General features: G+C 41.1%; 1 protein-coding gene across 23 annotated transcripts in view, besides 1 other annotated feature; it reads right to left on the bottom strand.

The window, feature by feature from the left end:
- The window catches only part of FARS2 (phenylalanyl-tRNA synthetase 2, mitochondrial), a 521,650-nt gene that overhangs the window by 345,084 nt on the left and 155,163 nt on the right, over positions 1–21,403 (bottom strand). The window lies entirely within an intron of this gene.
- Positions 14,111–14,620: an enhancer, noted in NCBI's record as "NANOG hESC enhancer chr6:5412113-5412622 (GRCh37/hg19 assembly coordinates)". NCBI's record gives its function as "activates a minimal SCP1, AML or CMV promoter by ChIP-STARR-seq in naive H9 embryonic stem cells {active_cell/tissue: H9 hESC(naive)}" and the evidence as "EXISTENCE:reporter gene assay evidence [ECO:0000049][PMID:30033119]".

The following is a 21,403-nucleotide window of genomic DNA, read 5'->3' as shown; positions in this document are numbered from 1 at the left end:
TTACTGTAGGTATTATTATATCTAGTTGAAAAAGCATCTTGACATGCTTCTTGTATTAAAAGATACAATGCCAAATAACTAGCTCAAAACTATGTTGAGTGTGACTTATTTCACATGTCAAGTATTAGAAGTCAGAATATTTACTAAAAATTACGTATTTTGTGTTATATATTAATAGAGGAGAATTTTCAGTAAGCATATCCAAATCATATGGATTCATTATGCATAAGACTAACTTCTTATTGGGGCTATAGAGGAAAATTAAGTGCATATATGAACTATATATCTAGTGGAAAATAATGCCAAGGTTTTTTTTCCTATTTCCTTGTGTCTTTTAATTTCCTAAACCACACAGATGAAGCTCAGAGCTTTTTTAACGGCTTCAGAACTCTGAGATTACAGCAACTGTCAAAAATTATACACCTCAATTTTCAGCCTAGAGCCACATAAAAGAAAGTATACTTTAGGAAAAAAAACCACACCTGGGTTCAAGCCTCAGCCTTCTACCATTTTTCCTGTGAAACCGCGGGAAGCTTACTTATCCTCTTTGAGCCCCACCTGCCTCTTCTCTACACCGTGGATAATGATTGCCCTCACCCAGTGGTTTCAAGAAAAGACCCTGTGGGAGCCCAGGTTTTCTCAAGAGGCAGCAATCCTCTTTGGAGATCTGGACACTGACTCAAATTTCTCCTCTGAATAAGGATGTTGAGTTTGTTCAAGAATGAGGAGAGCCCAAAGTCCAGAAGCAATCACTCAAGTGGGACTTCAGAAATAAGTAGAAATACCTCCAGGACAGTGACATGAGCCCAAATGGAAGAGGTATAGCAAGAATTCTAAGCCTGTCTCAACTCCAGCAGGACATTACCTGCCACAGGGATGGGGAAGGCAGCACTGTACCTCGCCTGCTCTGTGTACCAGCCTCCCGACTTCTGCACCTTTGGCAAGACCAGCCAGGGACACTTGCAGGGCGGGTGTGTGTGTGTGTGTGTTTGGTCTCTTCCCACCAATCCCTGAAGGGCCTGAGCACTCTGTCTGACATACTATAAACATTTAAGTAGACGTCATTCCATTCCATCCCACCTTCGTTAAGGATCTCATTCTGAATAAACATCACGTTCCATTTCCCTGATTTATTGACTCATTAAAGAGATTCTTCTGCTGTTTCCCATACCGTTTGTATTTAAAGATGGGACTTTCCTATCAGAACTGCCTTCCACAGATGGTAGAATCTAAATTTTGAAAGATCAGTGGCCCAAACTAGAGCATATACCAGTGATTTTCTACACCAAACCAGGGGTACCCTCCATGAATAATTTTTTAAAATTAACTGAACAAATATGCCATTAACCACTGGTGTTTGGCATTATTTTCAAAATAGATTTTCCCTCAGTTGACACCAGAAAAATAGTAGAATATAGTGGTCTAATATCAGGGTTGCCACTCACACTTTCTGAACAGCTAGTATCCAAGGAAGGAAAGGAACGTGGAAAGAAAAAGGAAGGAGGGGACTCTCTGGCTGGAAACAAATTCTTAAAGAGCTGGGATCATCCTCGATAACCACAATCTAACCACGGGAAATCGTGCAGCCGCCACTGTCAAAGACATCTGATGATTCCATCTATTCTGCTTCTGTTGAAGACCCGCAACCTTTTGATAGAGCCCATTTTTTCATGATGTTTCAATAGTGCTCTAACAGCATTCTTTTATAAATTGTTTTGTTTTGAATAGGAAATATGTTCACAAGGTTCAAAATCAAAATACTATAACAGGATCCATCTCATTATGTAATAGGGCATGACAAAGAAGTCTCACTTACCTCCCTTTCCCATCTTACCCCAATCTCCTGGACCCTTACGGTAAACTCTCAGGGTTTCCTTTTTACTGCCAGATGTTAAGCCAATACAAATATCTGTTTCTATTTTCCTTCCTTTGTTATATAACAAGCAGCATAGTGTGTACTTTATTCGGCACCACGCTTTTTTCACTGAATGATGTGTCTGGAGGCCTCTCCACATGAATGCATAGAGCACGCCCTCAGTCCTTTTCTTACTCCTACCAAAGATTCCTGCATGTGGCCCACATTCATATAAGAAGTCTTACTGATACACACTTGGAGAATATTCAGTGTTGTGCTACTGAAAGCAATGCTGTGACTAAATACCCTGTTGAGTTGAAGAGTAAATGCTTTTATGATTTTAATAAATATTGCCAAAACGCCCTCGATAGGTGTTGTATAATATTTTGCACTAACATTAGCTCAATACTTTCCACAGGCGCCAAGGCCATAGAACTAACTGGTGGAAGAATACAATGAGAGTGTAGGTCCCAGACAAAGATCCAGGGCTTTGCTGATAAAAGAACACCAGCTCGACCCTCTTACGCAGCTCCCACTTAGATAAAGCAACAGTTGAGTACCCACAGACACGATTCCCAGGGCTGCCTTCCTTGCCCTTGCTGTTTACATCTCGTCTCTCCCCTAAGAGAAGAAAAGAGTGTCTTCTGGACTCAGTAAATGTGGCTGGCAGTCATAAGGAAGAGGAGGCACTTTTAAGGCCTGAAGCATCCATGTGGGAATACAAATACTGATTCTGTTTCCAAAGCCCACCTCACACGCAGCATGAAGTCATTCATGACCTACACTTCATCCCTATCTAGGGCCTTACAAACCTGGCAATGCCACCACTGTGACTCTTTAAGAGCGCCATATATATCCTATGCGTCCACACAACCATGTACCCTGGAGTCCAGCGCTGCAGAGTGCCAAGTGGAATAAAACCATTCCTACTACAAAGTTAATGGTAAATACCACCTCTTCCCTCTCACAGAGGGTAATAAAATCCTCCAGTGTGGGACCTCCCAAGCATACAGAAGATATTAACACTATTTCAGCCACAATGACTCCTGCTAAGACAAACACAAAGCAATAGGGGAAAAATAAAAGGCAGGCGATTTCCTCCACCATTGGCAATGGTATAACTGGTCCCACAGCTATTATTCTTCTGCTTGGCAGAAAGACCAATGTGTGCAAGTGCAGTTTCACACTGTTCCCCTGGGACTCCTCTACACAGGGATCCTTTTGACTAGTGCTTGGATCGTAAGATGATATGATCGTTTCTCTACCTCACAATGAAATGAGAAATGGAGTATGGCACAATTTAATGGGCCCCTCATTCTGAAATCTGGGTATGGGTTCAGAGGCACCAGGGTAAGTGATCACTCCCGTGCTCTCTATCAAGCAGCAGAGGGGACAGTCCAATAGCATCCCGGCCTCAGGCAGAGCCACAGCACAGCCCTTTGGTCCTCGATCCTCCTCGTCAACCTGTTCTCGAAGGAAACTATCTTCAGATCCCTGCAGGCTACACAGAGAGGCATTGTAAACAGAAGGCTCACACACCAGCCTCCACAAAGCTGGTCGGGTGGGGGACAGCCTGGATCTAAGAGCCAGCACAGATCTAGAAGCAAATCCCAGCTTTATCACTTGCAGCTGAGTGACCTCAGGCCAGTTACTTAACCTCGCACTGCTTCAATTTTGTCAAAAATAAGAATATCTCACAGAGTTTCTGTGACAATTCAGCATGGGGAAGTGTGTAAAAAGCCTAACACAGTACCTAGCAGCTCATTAACACTCAGTGGGTATTTTTTTTCATTGAATGTCATGAAATTCAGCTCATAATCTGAAACATCTCACTTTTTAATAAAATATGAAAAAATAAGCATGTCTAAATTGTGTTCCTGGGTAACTGACATTTACTGTTCATTTACTATATGCTGGGCACTGTGCTAAACACGTCCCATGCCTGCTCTCACTTCATGCTTACGCTGATGTGAGGCTGGCATATACACTGAACAATCGTTACTCTCATTCCCACTTTGCAGATGAGGGAAATGTGACTGCAACAGCTCACGTATCTAATCTCAGTTTACAGTAGAGAGTAAATGCCAGGATCAGAACCAGGTGTGTGGGACAGCACAGCCCCATGCTGCCCTCCACTGGAGCAGACAGTGCAACACCACATTAACTCAGCTTCCAACACAAAGCACACTCATGAGACCAAGAAGGCACGGTCTGTGTCCTTGTTCTCCTAACACACAACAGTGACATTTATGATTTAAAAAAAAAAGAGAGAGAGAGAGAGAGAACCAAACAGGCATAGTCTAAGTTGAAAGATAAAAGGTGATATGGTTTGGCTGTGTCCCCACCCAAATCTCATCTTGAATTCCCACGCATTGTGGAAGGGGCCCAGTGGGAGGTAACTGAATCATGGGGGCAGGTTTTCCCATGCTGTTCTCGTGATAGTGAATAAGTCTCATGAGATCTGACGGGTTTAAAAACAGGAGTTTCCCTGCACAAGCTCTCTTCTCTTGTCTGCCACCATGTCAGATGGGCCTTTCACCTTCTGCCATGATTGTGAGGCCTCCCCAGCCATATGAAACTGTGAGTCCATTAAGCCTATTTTTCCTCCCAGTCTCAGGTATGTTTTTATCACCAGTGTGAAAACAAACTAATACAGTAAATTGGTGCCAGCAGAGTGGGGCGCTGCTGAAAAGACATCCAAAAATGTGGAAGTGACTTTGAAACTGGGTAACAGGAAGAGGTTAGAATAGTTTGAAGAGCTCAGAAGAAAACAGAAAAATGTGGGAAAGTTTGAAATTCCCTAGAGACTTGTTGAATGGCTTTGACCAAAAGCTGATAGTGATATGGACAATGAAGTCCAGGCTGAGATGGTCTCAGATGGAGATGAGGAACTTGTTCGGAAATGGAGCAAAGTAACTTTTGTTATGTTTTAGCAAAGAGACTGGCAGCATTTTGCCTCTGTTTTAGAGATTTGTGGAACTTTGAACTTGAGAGACATGATTTAGAGTATCTGGCAGAAGAAATATCTAAGCAGCAAAGCATTCAAGAGGTGACTTGGGTGCTGTTAAAGGCATTTGGCTTTATAAGGAAAGCAGAGCATAAAAGTTTGGAAAATCTGTAGGCTGACAATGCGATAGAAAAGAAAATCCCATTTTCTGAGGAGAAATTCAAACTGGCTGCAGAAATTGGCATAAGTAACAAGAAGGTGAAAGTTAATCCCCAAGACAATGGGGAAAATGTCTCTGGGACATGTCAGAGGTCTTTGTGGCAGCCCTTCTCATCACAGGCCTGGAGGCCTACAAGGAAAAAGTGGTTTCATGAGCCAGGCCCAGGGTCCCCATGCTGTGTGCAGCCTAGGGACTTGGTGCCCTGTGTCCCAGTTGTTATGTGGCTGAAAGGGGTCAATGTAGAGCTCGGGCTGTGGCTTCGGAGGGTGCAGGCCTCAAACCTTAGCAGCTTCCATGTGGTGTGGAGCCTGTGAGTACACAGAAGTCAAGAATTGAGGTTTGGGAACCTCCACCTAGATTTCACAAGATGCATGGAAATGCCTGGATGCCCAGGCAGAAGTTTGCTGTAGGGGTGGAGTTCTCATGGAGAACCTCTGCTAGGGCAGTGCAGAAGGGAAATTTTGGGTAGGAGCCCCCACACAGAATCCCTGCTGGGGCACCACTTAGTGGAGCTGTGAGAAGGACGCCGTCCTCCAGACCCCTCCAGACCCCAGAATGGGTCTGGGGTCCACAACCAAGAAGAACCAGGAGCCTGCCTCCTGCAGGATGGCACACTGTGGGCTTGCGGCAGGAGGGAGGCAAAAAGCTTCAAGTCAGAGTCTGGGATGGGATAAGCTCCATGACGGTGCCAGAAGGAAGTCAACAGCTTGCACCAGGCACCTAGAAAAGCCGCAGACACTCAACACCAGCCTATGGAAGCAGCTTGGAAGGAGGCTGTACCCTGCAAAGCCACAGGGGCAGAGCTGCCCAAAACCATGGGAACATACCTCTTGCATCAGCAGGACCTGTATGTGAGACATGGCGTTGAAGGAGATCATTCTGGAGCTTTAAGATTTTACTGCCCCACTGGATTTCACACTTGCATGGGGCCTGGTAGCTCCTTTGTTTTGGCCAATTTCTCCCATTTGGAAAGGCTGTATTTACCCAATGCCAGTACCCCCATTGTATCTAGGAAGTAACTAACTTGCTTTGGATTTTACAGGGTCATAGACAAAAATGACTTGCCCTGTCTCAGATGAGATTTGAGACTGTGAACTTTTGAGTTAACACTGAAATGAGTTAAGACTTTGGGGCACTGTTGAGAAGGCATGATTGGTTTTGAAATGTGAGGACATGAGATTTGGGAGGGGCCAGGGATGGAATGATATGGTTTGGCTGTGTCCCCACCCAAATCTCATCTTGAATTCCCATGTGTTGTGGGAGGGGCACAGTGGGAAGTAATTGAATCATGGGGGTAGGTCTTTCTCATGCTGTTCTTGTTGCAGTGAATAAGTCTCACAAGAGTTGATGGTTTTAAAAATGGGAGTTTCCCTGCACAAGCTCTCTTTTCTTGCCTGCTGCCTTGTGAGACGTGTCTTTCGCCTTCTGCCACGATTGTAAGGCCTCCCCAGCCAGGTGGAACTGTAACTCCATTAAACCTGTTTTTCTTTCCAGTCTCGGGTATGTCTTTATCAGCAATGTGAAAATGGACTAATACAAAATGTAAACCTCCACAGGCCAGAAGCAAAACAGGAAGAGAGGATAAAGTGAGCCTGCTGGGCTTGGGGTCCACAACCAAGAAGAACCAGGAGCCTGCCTCCTGCAGGATGGCACACTGTGGGCTTGGGGCAGGAGGGAGGCAAAAAGCTTCAAGTCAGAGGCTGGGATGGGATAAGCTCCATGACGGTGCCAGAAGGAAGTCAAATACTGTCACCCAAATGCAGCATGGGGCTGTAGATCTAAGGAGCTTTAAGATTAGGGATCCAAGCCATAGGCCTAGGATCAGCTCCATCCCCTCATTGTATGGGTGCTAGACATCTGATGGATCCCTGGGAAATCTCACTCTGGATTTCAAGCCTAGAGAATTGGGTGGAATCACCTGCAAATCCACTTATAGGGTGAATAGTAAGAGACGGGGGATGGGGGAGAAGGACAGGAACGAAGAAAACAGAGAAACGGTAAAGAACAAAAAAACCTTCCTCTGAATATGACCCTGCAACCCAAAATTCTAAAACATATGGACAAATCTAATGCTAAGTAATACAGCCAGCAGAACAAATAATCAAACATTAACTTACCTCAGTTGAGATTATTTTTATGAAACAATCTGAGACTTTAAAATAAGTGTGTTTTAGATATCTTAAGAGATACATGAAAGCACAATTCACTGATGTGTTCTAGAAAATAAAATTCATAAAAATTCTGGTTTTGTAAAACAGATCTAAAAATGCATCTTTAGGATTGTATCCATCTCCCAGTCAAATTCTTCTCTGAGAAGGAAAACACCAGCCACCCTTTCAAAGAGTTCCTGTCACAAACATTAAGCTGCATCAGAAAAGAAGACCAAAAAAGACACAGAGAGTAAGTGATGAGAGAGATGTAAGAATATAATGAAGGCGAAGAGGGGAATGAGATGTAATAGAAAATTGCAGGAAGGAAGGTCCAGAAGGAGTAGCCAAACGATTCAAATGAAAAAGAGAAACTTCCACATCTGGACAGGATGGAATAATAAACCAGTTTTACCCTTCCATATGAAAAACTAATAATAATAATAATAATAATAAAAAGACAAATATATAAAATCACACCACTCAAAACAGAGGACACCAGGTGACCAAGGACACAGACCCCCCAGAGGGGTGAGACCTAAGGAGAACATGGGAGAGCCCAAAAGTCTCCTTGATTTGAGGAGACAGAGCCGGGAGTCTGGACAAGTCAGGATAGCTAGAATTCTCAGGGCAGAGTAAAGGAGAGAAGAGAGCTGCGCGAAGAACTCTGGAGATCTGCAGAAGAACCCCTTCAGCATTCAACTGAACACTGATCATGTGTGTTGAAAAATCTACCTGAGGTCAGGGAACAAACCACACAAAAGGATTAGAGGGAATAAAGTTGGAGCTCACACAGGACCAGGAATAGTGCCAGTTCTCAACAGCCAAGGGGAAAACCTCATAATTCACGGGTTATCGGTTACAGAGCTAAGACAGGTCTCGCATAGGTAGTGGGCAAAACTATCCCCAGACGAAACTCTATACTGGTCCTGCCTAGTAAGGCTTAAAAAGAAGACCTAAATGGATCAAAGTGTTTCTAAGTAATCCCAGAATAAAGCTCGCGGATATTAGGAAGGTAAAAAATATCCAATGCATCAGAAGGTAAAATTAACAATGTTTGGCAATATCCTATAGTAAATTACCAGGCATGCAAAATAGAAACAAAATACATAATACAAAGTACAGAAGAATCAAAAGCAATTCACCAAGGAATGACAGATGTCAGAATTAGTAGGAAAAAATGTGTTAAAATATGTATTATATATTCGTTATGTTCAAAAAGCTAGAAGAAAGACTAAACACGTTAAGTAGAAACAGGGATGATATTAAAAAGATCCAAACTGAAGCAAATGAATGAGATGAAAAATACACAGGAAGGAGTTAACAGAAAATTAGACACTGTAGAAGAAATATTGGTAAACTTGAAGATAAAGCAATAGAAATTATCCAAAATGCAATATAGAAGGAAAAAAAAATCACTGAAAGAAAAATGAACAGAGCACCAGTAGTGGAAAAGTTTTAAGTGGCCACATACACATGCAAGTGGAGTACCTAAAGGAGGAGAGTAACAGAAAGTATCTGAAGAAATAATTGACCACAATTTTCCAGATTTCACGAAAAATATAAATCCAAGAAGCTCAACCAATTCCAAACATAAGAAATCTGAAGAAAACTGTATCTATGTACATCATAATCAAACTGCTTAAAACCAGTGACAAAGAAAACATTGCAAAACGACTCAGAGAGAAGAGACACATTATGTACAGAAAAACAAAGACAAAAGCAAAGTTAAGAGCAGATTTCTCACAGGAAACAGGGCAAGTGAGAAGAGATCTAGGAATATCACCTCTAAAAAACTAAAAGGGCCAGGGCACAGTGGCTCATACCTGTAATCCCAGCAGTCTGGGAGGCCGAGGAAGGAGAATCACTTGAGGCCAGGAGTTCAAGACCAGCCTGGGCAACATGGTGACACCCCATCTCTCTACAATTTTTTTTTTATTTTAAAAGTTAGCGGGGTGTGGTGGTGCACACCTGTAGTCCCAGCTCCTCAGGAGGCTGAAGTAAAAGGATCCTTTGAGCCCAGGACTTGGAGGCTGCAGTGGGCCATGATCACGCCATTGCACTCCAGCCTAAGTGACAGAGCAAGACCCTATCTCAAAAATAAATACACAGAGGTAAAAAAAACTATTAATCTAGAATTCTTTTCCCAGTGAAAATATCTCAAAAATAAAGGCAAAATAAAAGCTTTATGGACATACAAATGCAAAAGAATTCATCACTAGCAGAAGCAGACCTTCTGCTGTGCAGAAGGAAAATATCAGTTGGGAACCCAGATGAAGAGCACTGAAGATGGTAAGGACCTAGGAGATATAAAGACTTTTCTTACTATTTAAATATCTTTAAAAGCTGATCAACTATTCAAAGCAAAAACAATCATAACGTATTTAGGAGTTGATAGTATACATAAGAATTAAAATATGTGACGGCACAAAGGCCAAGATGGGAAACAGGGAAGTCTGCTGTTCTTACGCTATACAGAAGTGGGGTAACAGCACTCAAAGTGAAGTGAGACTGTGATAACTGTAAATCCTAAAGCAACTGCTACAATAACAAAACAAAAAGTTACCCCTCATAAGACAAAGGAAATAAAATGGAATAATAAAAAATACAATTAATCCAAACAAAGTAAGAGAACAAAGAAAAAAAATGTTACTCATAGAAAGCAAATAGCAAAATGATCATTTCAATCCAACAACATCAATAATAACATCAAATGTAAACAATCTAATTAAAATAACTTTGAAAAAAGAACAAAGTTACAAGAATTTAACCGATTTTAAGGCATTATAAAGCTACTGTGATAAAGACAGTGAAGTATTGTGTCAAGATAGACAAATAACAGATGCATGGAACAGAATAGAGAGTCCAGAAATAGCCCCAGACATACATGGTTAATTGATTCCAGACAATGGTACGAAGACTTTGCAGTGCAGAAGGAAAGGTCATTTCAACAAACGATGCTGGAACAACTGGATATCAATATGGAAAACAAAATTTCAATCCGTACCTCAGATCATCCATAAAATTCTTCAAAGGAATCACAAATCTAAATATAAAACTGAAAACTATAAAACTTCTACAAGAAAACATAGTAGAAAAATCTTTGTGACCTTGGGTTAGGAAAGATGTCCGAGAAACAATATCAAAAGCATAATCCATAAAAGAAAAAAATTGGTTAACTGGGTTTCATCAAAGTTAAAGAACTTCTGCCTTTTGAGGAACAACACTAATGAAAAGACTGAGTGAAAATATTGCAAATCCCACATCCCACAAAAGAATCATATCCAAAATTCACAGTTTCAAAAATCAATAAAAAGATAATAGGGCCAGGCGCAATAGCTCACACCTGTAATCCCAGCACTTTGGGAGGCCAATGTGGGCAGACTGCTTGAGCCCAGGAGTTCAAGACCAGCCTGGACAATATAGTGAGACCCCATCTCTACAAAATATAAACAAAATTAACTGGCATTGTGATGAGCACCTGTAATCCCCATTACTTGGGAGGCTGAAGTGGGCGCATCGCTTGACCTGGGAGGTCAAGGATGCAGTGAGCTGAGATCATGCCACTTCACTCCAGCCTGGGCAAAAGAGCAAGACCAAAAAAAAGAAAGAAAACAAATGGGCAAAATATTTGAATACTTTGCCAAATAGTTATATGAATGCAAATAAGTACATAATATTCAGCATCATTATCAACTAAGAAAACACAAATTAGGCAGGGAGCGGTGGCTCACGCCTGTAATCCCAACACTTTGGGAGGCCGAGGTGGGTGAATCACCTGAGGTCAGGAGTTCCAGGCCAGCCTAGCTAACATAGCGAAACTCTGTCTCTACTAAAAATACAAAAATTACCTAGGCGTGGTGGCGTGCACCTGTAATCCCAGCTACTTGGGAGGCTGAGGTGGGAGAGAACTGCTTGAACCCAGGAGGTGGAGGTTGCAGTGAGCTGAGATCACACCACTGCACTCCAGCCTTGGCGACAGAGCAAGACTCTGTCTCAAAAAAAAAAAAAAAAAAAAAAGAAAAGAAAAGAAAATACAAATTAAAATCATAATCAGATACCACTACACTCCTATCAGAATGGCTAAAATTACAATGACTATAACAAGTGCTAGCAAAAATGAGGAGCAACTTCCACTCCTAGGCACTGCTAGTGGAAATGTAACATGGTACAAGCAGTTGAACAGTTCGACAGTTTCTTTAAAAGTTAGTCATGGCCGGGTGCGGTGGCTCACGCCTGTAATCCCAGCATTTTGGGAGGCCAAGGCAGGTGCATCATGAGGTCAGGAGTTCAAGACCAGCCTGGCCAAGTTGGTGAAACCCGGTCTCTACTAAAAATACAAAAAAAAATTACCCAGGCATGGTGGCGGGTGCCTGTAATCTCAGCTACTCGCGGGGCTGAGGCAGAGAATTGCTTGAACCCAGGAGACGGAGGTTGCAGTGAGCCGAGATCGCGATGCTGCACTCAAGCCTGGGTGACAGAGTGAGACTCTGTCTCAAAAAAAAAAAAAAAAAAAAAACAGTCATATACCTACCATGCAGCCATTCCATTTGTAGCTATTTACTCAAGAAAAAAAAAAGCGATGTCCATATAAAGACTTGTCCACAAATATTTATAGAAGCTTCATTTGCAATAGCCAAAACCTGGAAACAACCCAAATAGCCAACAATAGGTGGATGAATACACATATTGTGGAATATCAATACAATGTAATACCCTACTTAGTAACAAAAAGGAATGAAGTATTGATAACACGCTACAAAATGCATGAATCTCAAAATAATTATGCTGAGTGAAAGAAGCCAGAGAATACATACAATAGGATTTCCTTGAACATAAATCTAGAAAATGGTAACCAACCTATAGTAACAGAAAGCAGATCACTAGTTACCTAGGCCTGGTGGGTAGGGAGAGTGGGCAGAAGAGGTGGTAGAGGGACGGTGAAGGAGCACAAGGAAACGTTTTGGGGTGATGAGTATATCTTGATTGTGGTGATGGTTTAGTGTGTGTATAATTATGTCAAAAGTTATCAAATTGTACACTTTAGTTTATTGGAAGCCCATTATAATTCAATAAACAAAAGAGTAAGCAGAAAGATTCAGCATAATAAGTGTTTTCCCCAATCTGTTGAATTTTATAATTTGGAAATCAATCGTGACCTCAACAGAAACCATTAGAATGAACTAACCACTGCTGCCTCTGTCGGGCAGCAATTGGAAGGTATATTTCATAAACTGTAGCTGAAAAGGACAGTAAGTTTCCAGAGAAAGATGGATCATCAAATAATGGTAGTTGTTTGTTTTATTGTGAGATGACATCATTTAGGGTATATTTAAAGCTGATGAAACAAAATTCTAGAGAAACCGATGGGCTGGTAATCAGCAGTCCAACTAAGCACAAAATCCACAGCCAGTCACCTAGATTTTCTCAGTAAAATACAGCTTATCCTCTGACAAAGAATAGAAAAATGGAGACTGAAAAAATGGTGTGGAATAACAGAAAAAAAGGGATTTGTACAGTGAGCTGACCAAAATAAGAAAGAAGAGAGCCACCAACCTTGACCTGGCTAAGGTGGCAAATCTGAGCTGCTACAGGAGGGGGAAGCATAAAGAGATTTGGGCACATATTCAAGGCTAGGTTTTCATCAAGTGTCCAGTGCAAGTCAAAGGAGTGAAGGAGTTAAAGTGGTTGATAACAGAGTTCTGATAACTAACTTTATGCTGATGATCAATTCCTTAGTAGAGCTAGAAGACAGGCCAGAAGAGAAGTGGCTGAAATCAATCAGGAAATTGAGCTTTCTATGAACCTAAAGAGTAGAAGGAGAATCTTCCCTCTCTCCCTAAATCTTAATGGTTTCTAGGTCACCTGTATACCAACCACCTGAGAGTTATTAGTACCAGTAAAAATAGTTTGCAATGGGTGTAGTTCCAGGCACACTGATGGTTTTCATTACAGCAGCCCTAAAATTTTCAGTGCCTTTTTCTCTGTACCTTAAGATCCAATAATTTTATTTTAATTAACATAAAACCCCAAACAATTTCAATTTATTATTTCCCTAGATTAGTGAACCTCTCTGTTATCCTCTGCCCAACTGCCATAGAATCAGGAAGGTTTCTGGGCTCCTTAAAAGTATTATAGTTCAGCTCAACTATTGCTATCTCAACCTTTCTCTAAAGAGGTTCCCTTGTACCAATTCCTTAGCCCCAACAGATCAACCCTAGTATATATTTTCCCACTTCACTAGACATCTAAGGAAAAGTGTGTCTTAGGCCTCTCTCCACCTGATTCCTAGGGTGGTGTCTTATTTCCACTGAGTCCCTCCACTGGCTTAAAGCGAGGCACTTCACTTTTCACAGTTAATGATCCCAAGTCTCAGAGGTTGAAGGTGTTGGCCCGTTTTTATCGGAAAGAGCAACCTGCTCTAGACTACATCTAAGCTACGGCGAGGCGAGTACAGACAAGTCAAAATTGCTTGAATGCAACAACTGCCTTGGCTACTTCGCTGTCTAGGAGTACTCTGAGAAGGATAACACTCCCCAAGCCAGGCAACAGCAGCCAGCCCAAAAGAGCTGATTTAAAAATTAATAAAGTGATACACACTTACAATTTTTGATGTGATTCCATTTAGGAAGAATGTAGCACTAACAATTAATTATAAATCTAATTCTTACTCTTGATCCCTTTCACTTCATTTATACTAATAGAGCCTCATGGATAAAAAAATATGAAAAGGTATGGAAGACGTGATTCCTTATTACACATGATCAAGTGATTTCACTCCTGACCAGGACATCACTCACAACACAGGGCCCTAGAATGTTTCTGCTGGATGGGACCATGTATAGGTCCCTATGCAGGTTGGGCTGGCAAGCACGTTATCTGAAGGGAATCAACACGTGTGGATGAAGACAGTGGCAGCAAACTGGGCAGAGGGAGAAGTCAACGAACTACAGTCAGGCCAATGAAGCCTTTACCTTGCCAGAGGTCTGGAGCAGACAGCCCATCAGAATGGCCCATGGAGGGCCTTTGTATTCTTGCCACATTCAGTCTTCGGATGTGGGCTGCCCCAGGAAGGGCATGTCTTTGGGCAAGGAGGCTCCCTGCAGCTGAGGCAATTCCCCAAGAAGCTGACAGCTGCAGGCGATCGGCAATCCCATCAGCCTGGACCCTCGGAGGGCATGCTGGGAGGTGCATTTCAATGACCACCACAGGTCTTTTAACAAGCAAAGACAAGACATGACTCCCCCAAGGGTCCCAATCCATCTCTCCTTCACACTAATTAATCTAAACTGTGCTACAAGGCCAATCCTTTAGAAAGGGAAATGCCAATGTTTAGCAAAGAAACTGTGCCAAAGAAAGGCTGGAAACTCAAGGACAGAAAGAGAAATTTAAAAGTTAGAAATCCTAAATCCCCACCTTGGTTACTCTGAAAGAAATGATCTACTAAGCACAGTACAAAATATACAGAAAACACTCGAGAAATATTAAAAATGACAACAAAATCCACAAGCATAAAAATAGTCTAAAGAGTTATTTTATTTCTTTCTAATTCTAAAATGATAACCTTTCTTATAATAGCCTTAGGATGCTGGTACAATTGAAATGTTAGCAGAAAATAATAAACCACATTTGGACAGGAAAAAAACCTGAAACTAAAGCAGCTGTAATAACATACTGCCACAAGGAAATAGTGTGTTCTAATTTTTAATTTTGCTTTTCAAGAACAAAGGAATCCAATAATAATAATAAAAGGTGAAAAGCCTGGACCATAAAAACAAATATAAAAAGAGTTGCTCAATATTTCTGAGGCCTGTAGAGGCAGTTCCCATTCATCACTAATTATAGAAAGAGTGAACCTTAAGTTTTTAAATGGTCTTTGCTACCCAGAATGTAATTGGATATGATGTAGTAAATGGAGGCTTTACCACAAGCTAGCTACCAGGAGGCACTGAATGGGAAGAGAAGGTAAAGGAAAGAATCAGAGGCAGAATCAGAGGCAGCACCTAGAGAGAAGACGATTTTTTGTTTTGTTTTGTTTTGTTTTGTTTTAAAGAGACAGGATCTCAGTCTGTTGGCCAGGCTGGAGTGCAGGGGCATGATCATATCTCACTGCAGCCTTGGACTCCTGGGCTTAAGCAATCCTCCTGCCTCAGCCTCCTAAGTAGCTGGGACTACAGGCGTGAGCCATTGGGCCTGGCCCTGATTTTTGTTGTTGTTGTTGTTTGGCCAGGGGGACATCATGGCTTTTATAGGCCTCACAGTCTCTGAAATATTACTAATAAGATTTCTTTGTATCCTATCCAAAAGCTAACTTCTGGTATGGCCTTAGAAGTCAGCCTGTGGGCTCGAACTGCCTCAAATACTTACCAGCCCTGTGATTTTTACATGGCACTTTTTCTCTGTGTCTAGGTTCCTGCATCTGAAAAACGGAGATTGTAACACCCATATCATAGAGATGGTTTAAAAATTTTTAAAGTGATACACACTTAAAATTTTTGATGTGATTCCATTTAAGAAGAATGTAGCACTAACAATTAATTATAAACCTAATTTTTACTCTCAATACAACATCTGAAAAACAGAGATTGTAACACCCATATCATAGATGCACGTCAAAAGAAAAAACTCCTTGTCAACGTGCTTAGCACAGGGTTTCACACTGTTAACTATTATCTCTATCGTCACCATTATTACCATTATTATTGCTATTATTAATGTAAATTTAATCCAGGTTGATGGCACCTAGATAGGTTTACCAAGACATTTTTCAGAAGCTAGCAAAATTACTTAATTAATAAACCAACCAACAGCAAGAACCCAAAACCCATAACTAATTAGTGCTTCTGAAATGCCTGAAATAGAACAACGCGGCCAGGTGCAGTGGCTCACGCCTGTAATCCCAGCACTTTGGGTGTCCAAAGTGGGTGAATCACCTGAGGTCAGGAGTTCGAGACCAGTGTGGACAACATGGTGAAACCCCGTCTCTACTAAAAATACAAAATACAAAAAAGTAGCCAGGTGTGGTGGCGCACGCCTGTAATCCCAGCTACGTGGGAGGCTGAGGCATGAGAATCGCGGGAACCCAGGAGGCAGAGTTTGCAGTGAACTGAGATCACACCACTGCACTTTAGCTTGGATGACAGAGTGAGACTCCATCTCAAAAAAAAAAAAAACAAAAAAACACAAAAACGAACAAAGCACTTTTCTTCAGAGTTCAGAAGAAACAGCTGAGAATCCTGAAAGCATTGTTAACATTCAGTGTGAGCATGAAGGAAGCACACAGCACTGTCTGTGTTCTGTGATACAGACCCTCTCACTCTTCTAGTTCATCAGATGGGCCCAGGTTCCAGTCACCTTCCCACTTCACTTCACATCTCCCCTGAGAGGCAATACAGCGGACGTCACAAACACGGCAAACACGGTCGGGGACAAGCTCACACACCTCTACAACAACAGCTCGTGGCAACACAACCGGCAGAAACACACCAGGGCATGGCAAGGGTGTGTGAATGAGGCACCTTTCAGCAGTTTCAGGATGCCTGGCCACTGTGTGGATGGGGTTAAAAATGACCATGGCTCAAAGGAAAGAAGAAAAAGAAAAGGCTTTCTTCCCAGATAGATTCTGATGCGTGTGAACCAACATGTATTATCCAAGCAGGTGGATTTTTAAACTTTAATTCCATTCCATAATTCTGCCAGCTCAGTCTTACAGACAAAAAGTGAATTTGAACATTTATAAAATAGCAACATCGATCTGTAATAAAAGCTGACTACCAAAAGTCTAGGCTGACAATATTTTTAAAACAATAAAGCAACATATGCCGAAATGAAAGAAGCTACAAGTTCACTGCTATTCTAAAATTTAAGTTTCTTTTTTTTTTTGAGTCAGTCTCGCTCTGTTGCCCAGGCTGGAGTACGGTGGTGCAATCTTGGCTCACTGCAACCTCCGCCTCTCAGGTTCAAGCGATTCTCCTGCCTCAGCCTCCTGAGTAGCCGGGACTACAGGCGTGTGCCACCACGCCCAGCTAATTTTTTTGTATTTTTAGTAGAGATGGGGGTTTCACCATGTTAGACAGGAGGTCTTGATCTCCTGACCTCATGATCTACCCAACTCGGCCTCCCCAAGTGCTGGTATTACAGGTGTGAGCCACCGCGCCTGGCCCAAATTTAAGATTCTTAATTCTTGGCCAGGATCATGCCCACCATGTCAGGACAGGCATCACAGTCAGAAAAGTCATATATTGCATAAATTGTTTTTTGTAAGGAAACCTGACATCTGCATTTGAAAGCTACGCAAATACAAATATAAAAAATAACACAAAGGAAAGTCTAGGACCATATTTTCAGAGAGATATATATCCTGAAACACCTTGGACAGCTTATATAATCTATACAGAGGCCAGCACATGGCTTACTTTTTAAAATATCTCCTGGTGCAGATATGAAAGCCACCATCAGCACCAATAAGGCTACGGTGCCACAGTCTGGTACACAGCTCCTTCTTGTTCCCTCAGACATGATAAAGGCGAATCAGCCATGACCGTTGCTCTTTGATCGTATTACTCTTTCGTCATGTGCTCCCTGCTTTTATTGTCTTGTCTTAACTTTCCTTTCCTTCCTTCCTTCTTCCGTTTGTTCATATTTACATATTTATCTGATATTTTTTACTTACAAGGCATCTTTCACGTTATCTTGTTTTATTCTTGAGTGAAGCAAGTATCATCACAACTTTTAAAAGTTAGAAAACTGAGACCTGAAATGCTACGTGACCTGTTCAGGACTTCAGAGTAAGGGGATGAACAGGAGCTTCATTTTAAGTTTTCTGATTCTACACTACCGTTTCTCCATGGTCATAAGAGTCTACTGTCAATCATTTTTCTTCCCCTTGCCTCTTCTTTCCTTCTTTCCGTGGACTGTGCTGCATCATGCTTGCTCTCCACAAGTACTTGTGTCACCTGCTTTGTCATTTTTCACCCCATTCTTCTGCCCCCCCACCTTGCTTATCCTTTCCCAAGGCTAATTCCCACTTACCAGGTGTCAGCGTGCATGTGCCTCAGCAGGAGCCTTCCAGGAGCACAGGCTGGGCTCAGGAGGAGGCGCCTTGCCTGTGTGCTCGGAGAACATCCTATGTTTCCCAAGGAGAGAGCTCAAGATCCAAGGCTCCATGGCTCTTTGAAGACAGGGAGTATGGCTAGCTTATTCAATATTGTGATGCCTGCAACAGGGTGCAAATCCAGCTTCTAAACCTCACCAAACAGCAAATCATTTGATTATAGAAATATGTAGGATGACATAAATAAGGAGGATGCTAAAAAAAATTCTCTCCATAGTTTGGCAATGGAAAAATTCAGATGAGCCTGAATCTTTCTGTTAAGACACAATGCTACCTCCTTAAAATACTAGAATCCCTTCTACCTCACCCTGCCTCTAAAATGGCCTGAACAGCTCAATCCATCTCCCTGCATTTGTGTTAAACAGATGATATAAATGTTTAAAATATCACAATTCCTTTCTTTTATCATGAAAGCAAAGAGATGCTGGCTATCATAGGTTTTTCACATCAGCAATTTCTATTTGAAACCTATTTCACTATTATATTACGCCATTTTAATGAAATATATCAAACCTAGAGACAGGAAGAGAAAATAGCAACCACCCATATACTCATTATTCAGTTTTATCAAACCATAACATTTTGTCATATTTAACTTTAGTTTAAAAAAAAAAACATTATAAATCCATTTGAAACATGGTTTCCACCCCTCCCTAATACCATTTCCCACTTCCTAGAAAAACATTATCCTGAAGTTGATGTGCACTTTTTGAAAATGTATTTATATTAAAAATACAGAAGATTAGCTAGTGGTTTCTTATATATTACATGAACTATGCGTTTGGCAATATGGCAGTCAAGATATTCTAAAAAACCTTGCTAAAACAGAGCAGGAGAGGCTTAATAAATTACAACAAGATTCTCTTTAAATACATATTTGAGTTCAGGCATAAGTAGGGGAAATCTGGAGTATGAAAAAATAGAGGTGAATCAAGAACAGTGAGTACTGAAGTCCCAGCTGGAAGAACGGTGACCATGAATCCTGCGTAAGGCCAGAACTTTGTGCTATACTCTATTTCTCTACACCTTTGTCAACGATTTAAAATGTTAGATTTAAAAAATTATTTCCCATTTGAAAAAGCTCTTTGTGGTTTTGTTTTTCCCTGATTACTAATAAAGACAAGCATCTTTTCATATATTTATTGGTCATTATATATATATATATATATATATAATTTGCCACCTTCATGTTCACCCATTTTTCTCTTAAGTTGCAATTTCTGTTTGTTTATATGGAGAAGTCCTTTATAAATGCCAAATGTGTATTTGACATACCACTGGACTCCTGTTAGAATGGCTACAATTAAAATGACTAACCCTATCAAGTGTTGCTGAAGATGTACAGCAACTGGCATTTTCAGACTACTGTTGGGAATCGAGATGGTGCAACCCTTCAGATAATAGCTTAGCAGTTTTTTTTTTTAAGTTAAACATATACCTATGTTTATGAGGAGTGAAAACGTACGACCCAGAAAGACTGATCCATGAATGTTCATAGACGCTTTACTGATAATAGCAAAAAACTGGAAACTACCCAGATACCTATCAATGAATGTATGGATAAACAAATCGTGGAATGGGATACTGATTAACAAAAGGAATCAACTACTCATATACACTATGATATGGATGAATTTCAAAATAATTATTTTAAGTAAAACAAGCCAGACAAAAAAGAGCACATATTCTAAGATTCCATTTATATAAACCTAAAAAATGCAAACTGATTAATGGCACCAGAAAGCAGATCACATGTTGCCCGGGGTGAGATGTGGTAAGGGCAGAAGGGAAGGATTGCCAGTGAGCAGGAGGAAACTCCTGGGGACAATGAAGATGTTCATGTATTGATTCTGCTGGTAGCTTCATGGCATGAACTTGCAAGACGTCAAAACTTGTAAGACTGTGCGAGTATGTTCGTGTGCAGTTCATTGTATGTCAACTGATCAAAATGTACACTTTAGATATGTGTAGCTTACTTTATGTTAATTACACCTCAACAACACTGACTTTTACAAAAGCTCACAAGAATAAGAGAGTAAAGGAGAATCCTAACCACAGTAGGTCATCTGTCTTCTCAGATAAGAAATGTAAGTATTTCTTAAAGATAGTCACAATTAGGAAAATCCACTAACCTTCTCTTTATATCGTGATTTAAAAAAACAAAATATATCTCAATTAAGTTAAAAATAGCTGGAGGGGGAAGGTGGCATTACTGAAAACAAATATTTTTTGAAAAATAAAGGCAAGTGACTAAGTGAGGTCTAGATTGCAACACTATTGTTCCTCCTGCACGAAATATACTGTTAATGTTTTTGCTGTTGATATAATATACTGTTAATATACTCCTGTTGATAGTGGTAATCAGTATGGCAATACGTAAAGTTTTCCACTGGTTCATTCACATGGTTAAGAACCTTGCTCCACTGGGCCGGGCGCCGTGGATCACGCCTGTAATCCCAGCACTTTGGGAGGCCGAGGCGGGTGAATCACAAGGTCAGGAGATCGAGACCATCTTGGCAAACACGGTGAAACCCTGTCTCTACTAAAAATACAAAAAATTAACCAGGCGTGGTGGTGGGCGCCTGTCATCCCAGCTACTCAGGAGGCTGAGGCAGGAGAATGGCGTGAACCCAGGAGGCAGAGCTTGCAGTGAGCTGAGATCACCCCACTGCACTGCACCCCAGCCTGGGAGACAGAGCGAGACTCCGTCTCAAAAAAAAAAAAAAAAAAAAAAAAAGAACCTTGCTCCACTGATCACGTCCTCATGTAATGATAACATAATAATATACTCCAAATCAGCCTGTATATTTTCACTCCATTGATGAGACTGACCTAATCCATTATCATTCTTAGCAAACGTTATAATCATTTTTCTTTCTCTAGCTAAAAGTTTCTGAGTGCCAATCTGCAGCCACAAGTGAAACATTTCGTACCTGAACTCATTAAGATTTTCAGTCAAATCGCAGTCAAAACTTTGTTTCACGCACGAAATTATTTAAAATATTATATCAAATTACCTTCAGACTATGTGCGTAAAGTGTATATGAAATACAAATGAATTTCGTGTTTAGACTTGGCTCCCATCCCCAAGACATCTCATTATGTATATGCAAGAATTTCA

Source organism: Homo sapiens, chromosome 6 (assembly GCF_000001405.40).
Source record: "Homo sapiens chromosome 6, GRCh38.p14 Primary Assembly".
Lineage (NCBI taxonomy): Eukaryota > Metazoa > Chordata > Mammalia > Primates > Hominidae > Homo > Homo sapiens.
Note: the sequence above shows the minus strand (reverse complement) of the source record. Positions and strands in the feature narration are given on the sequence as shown.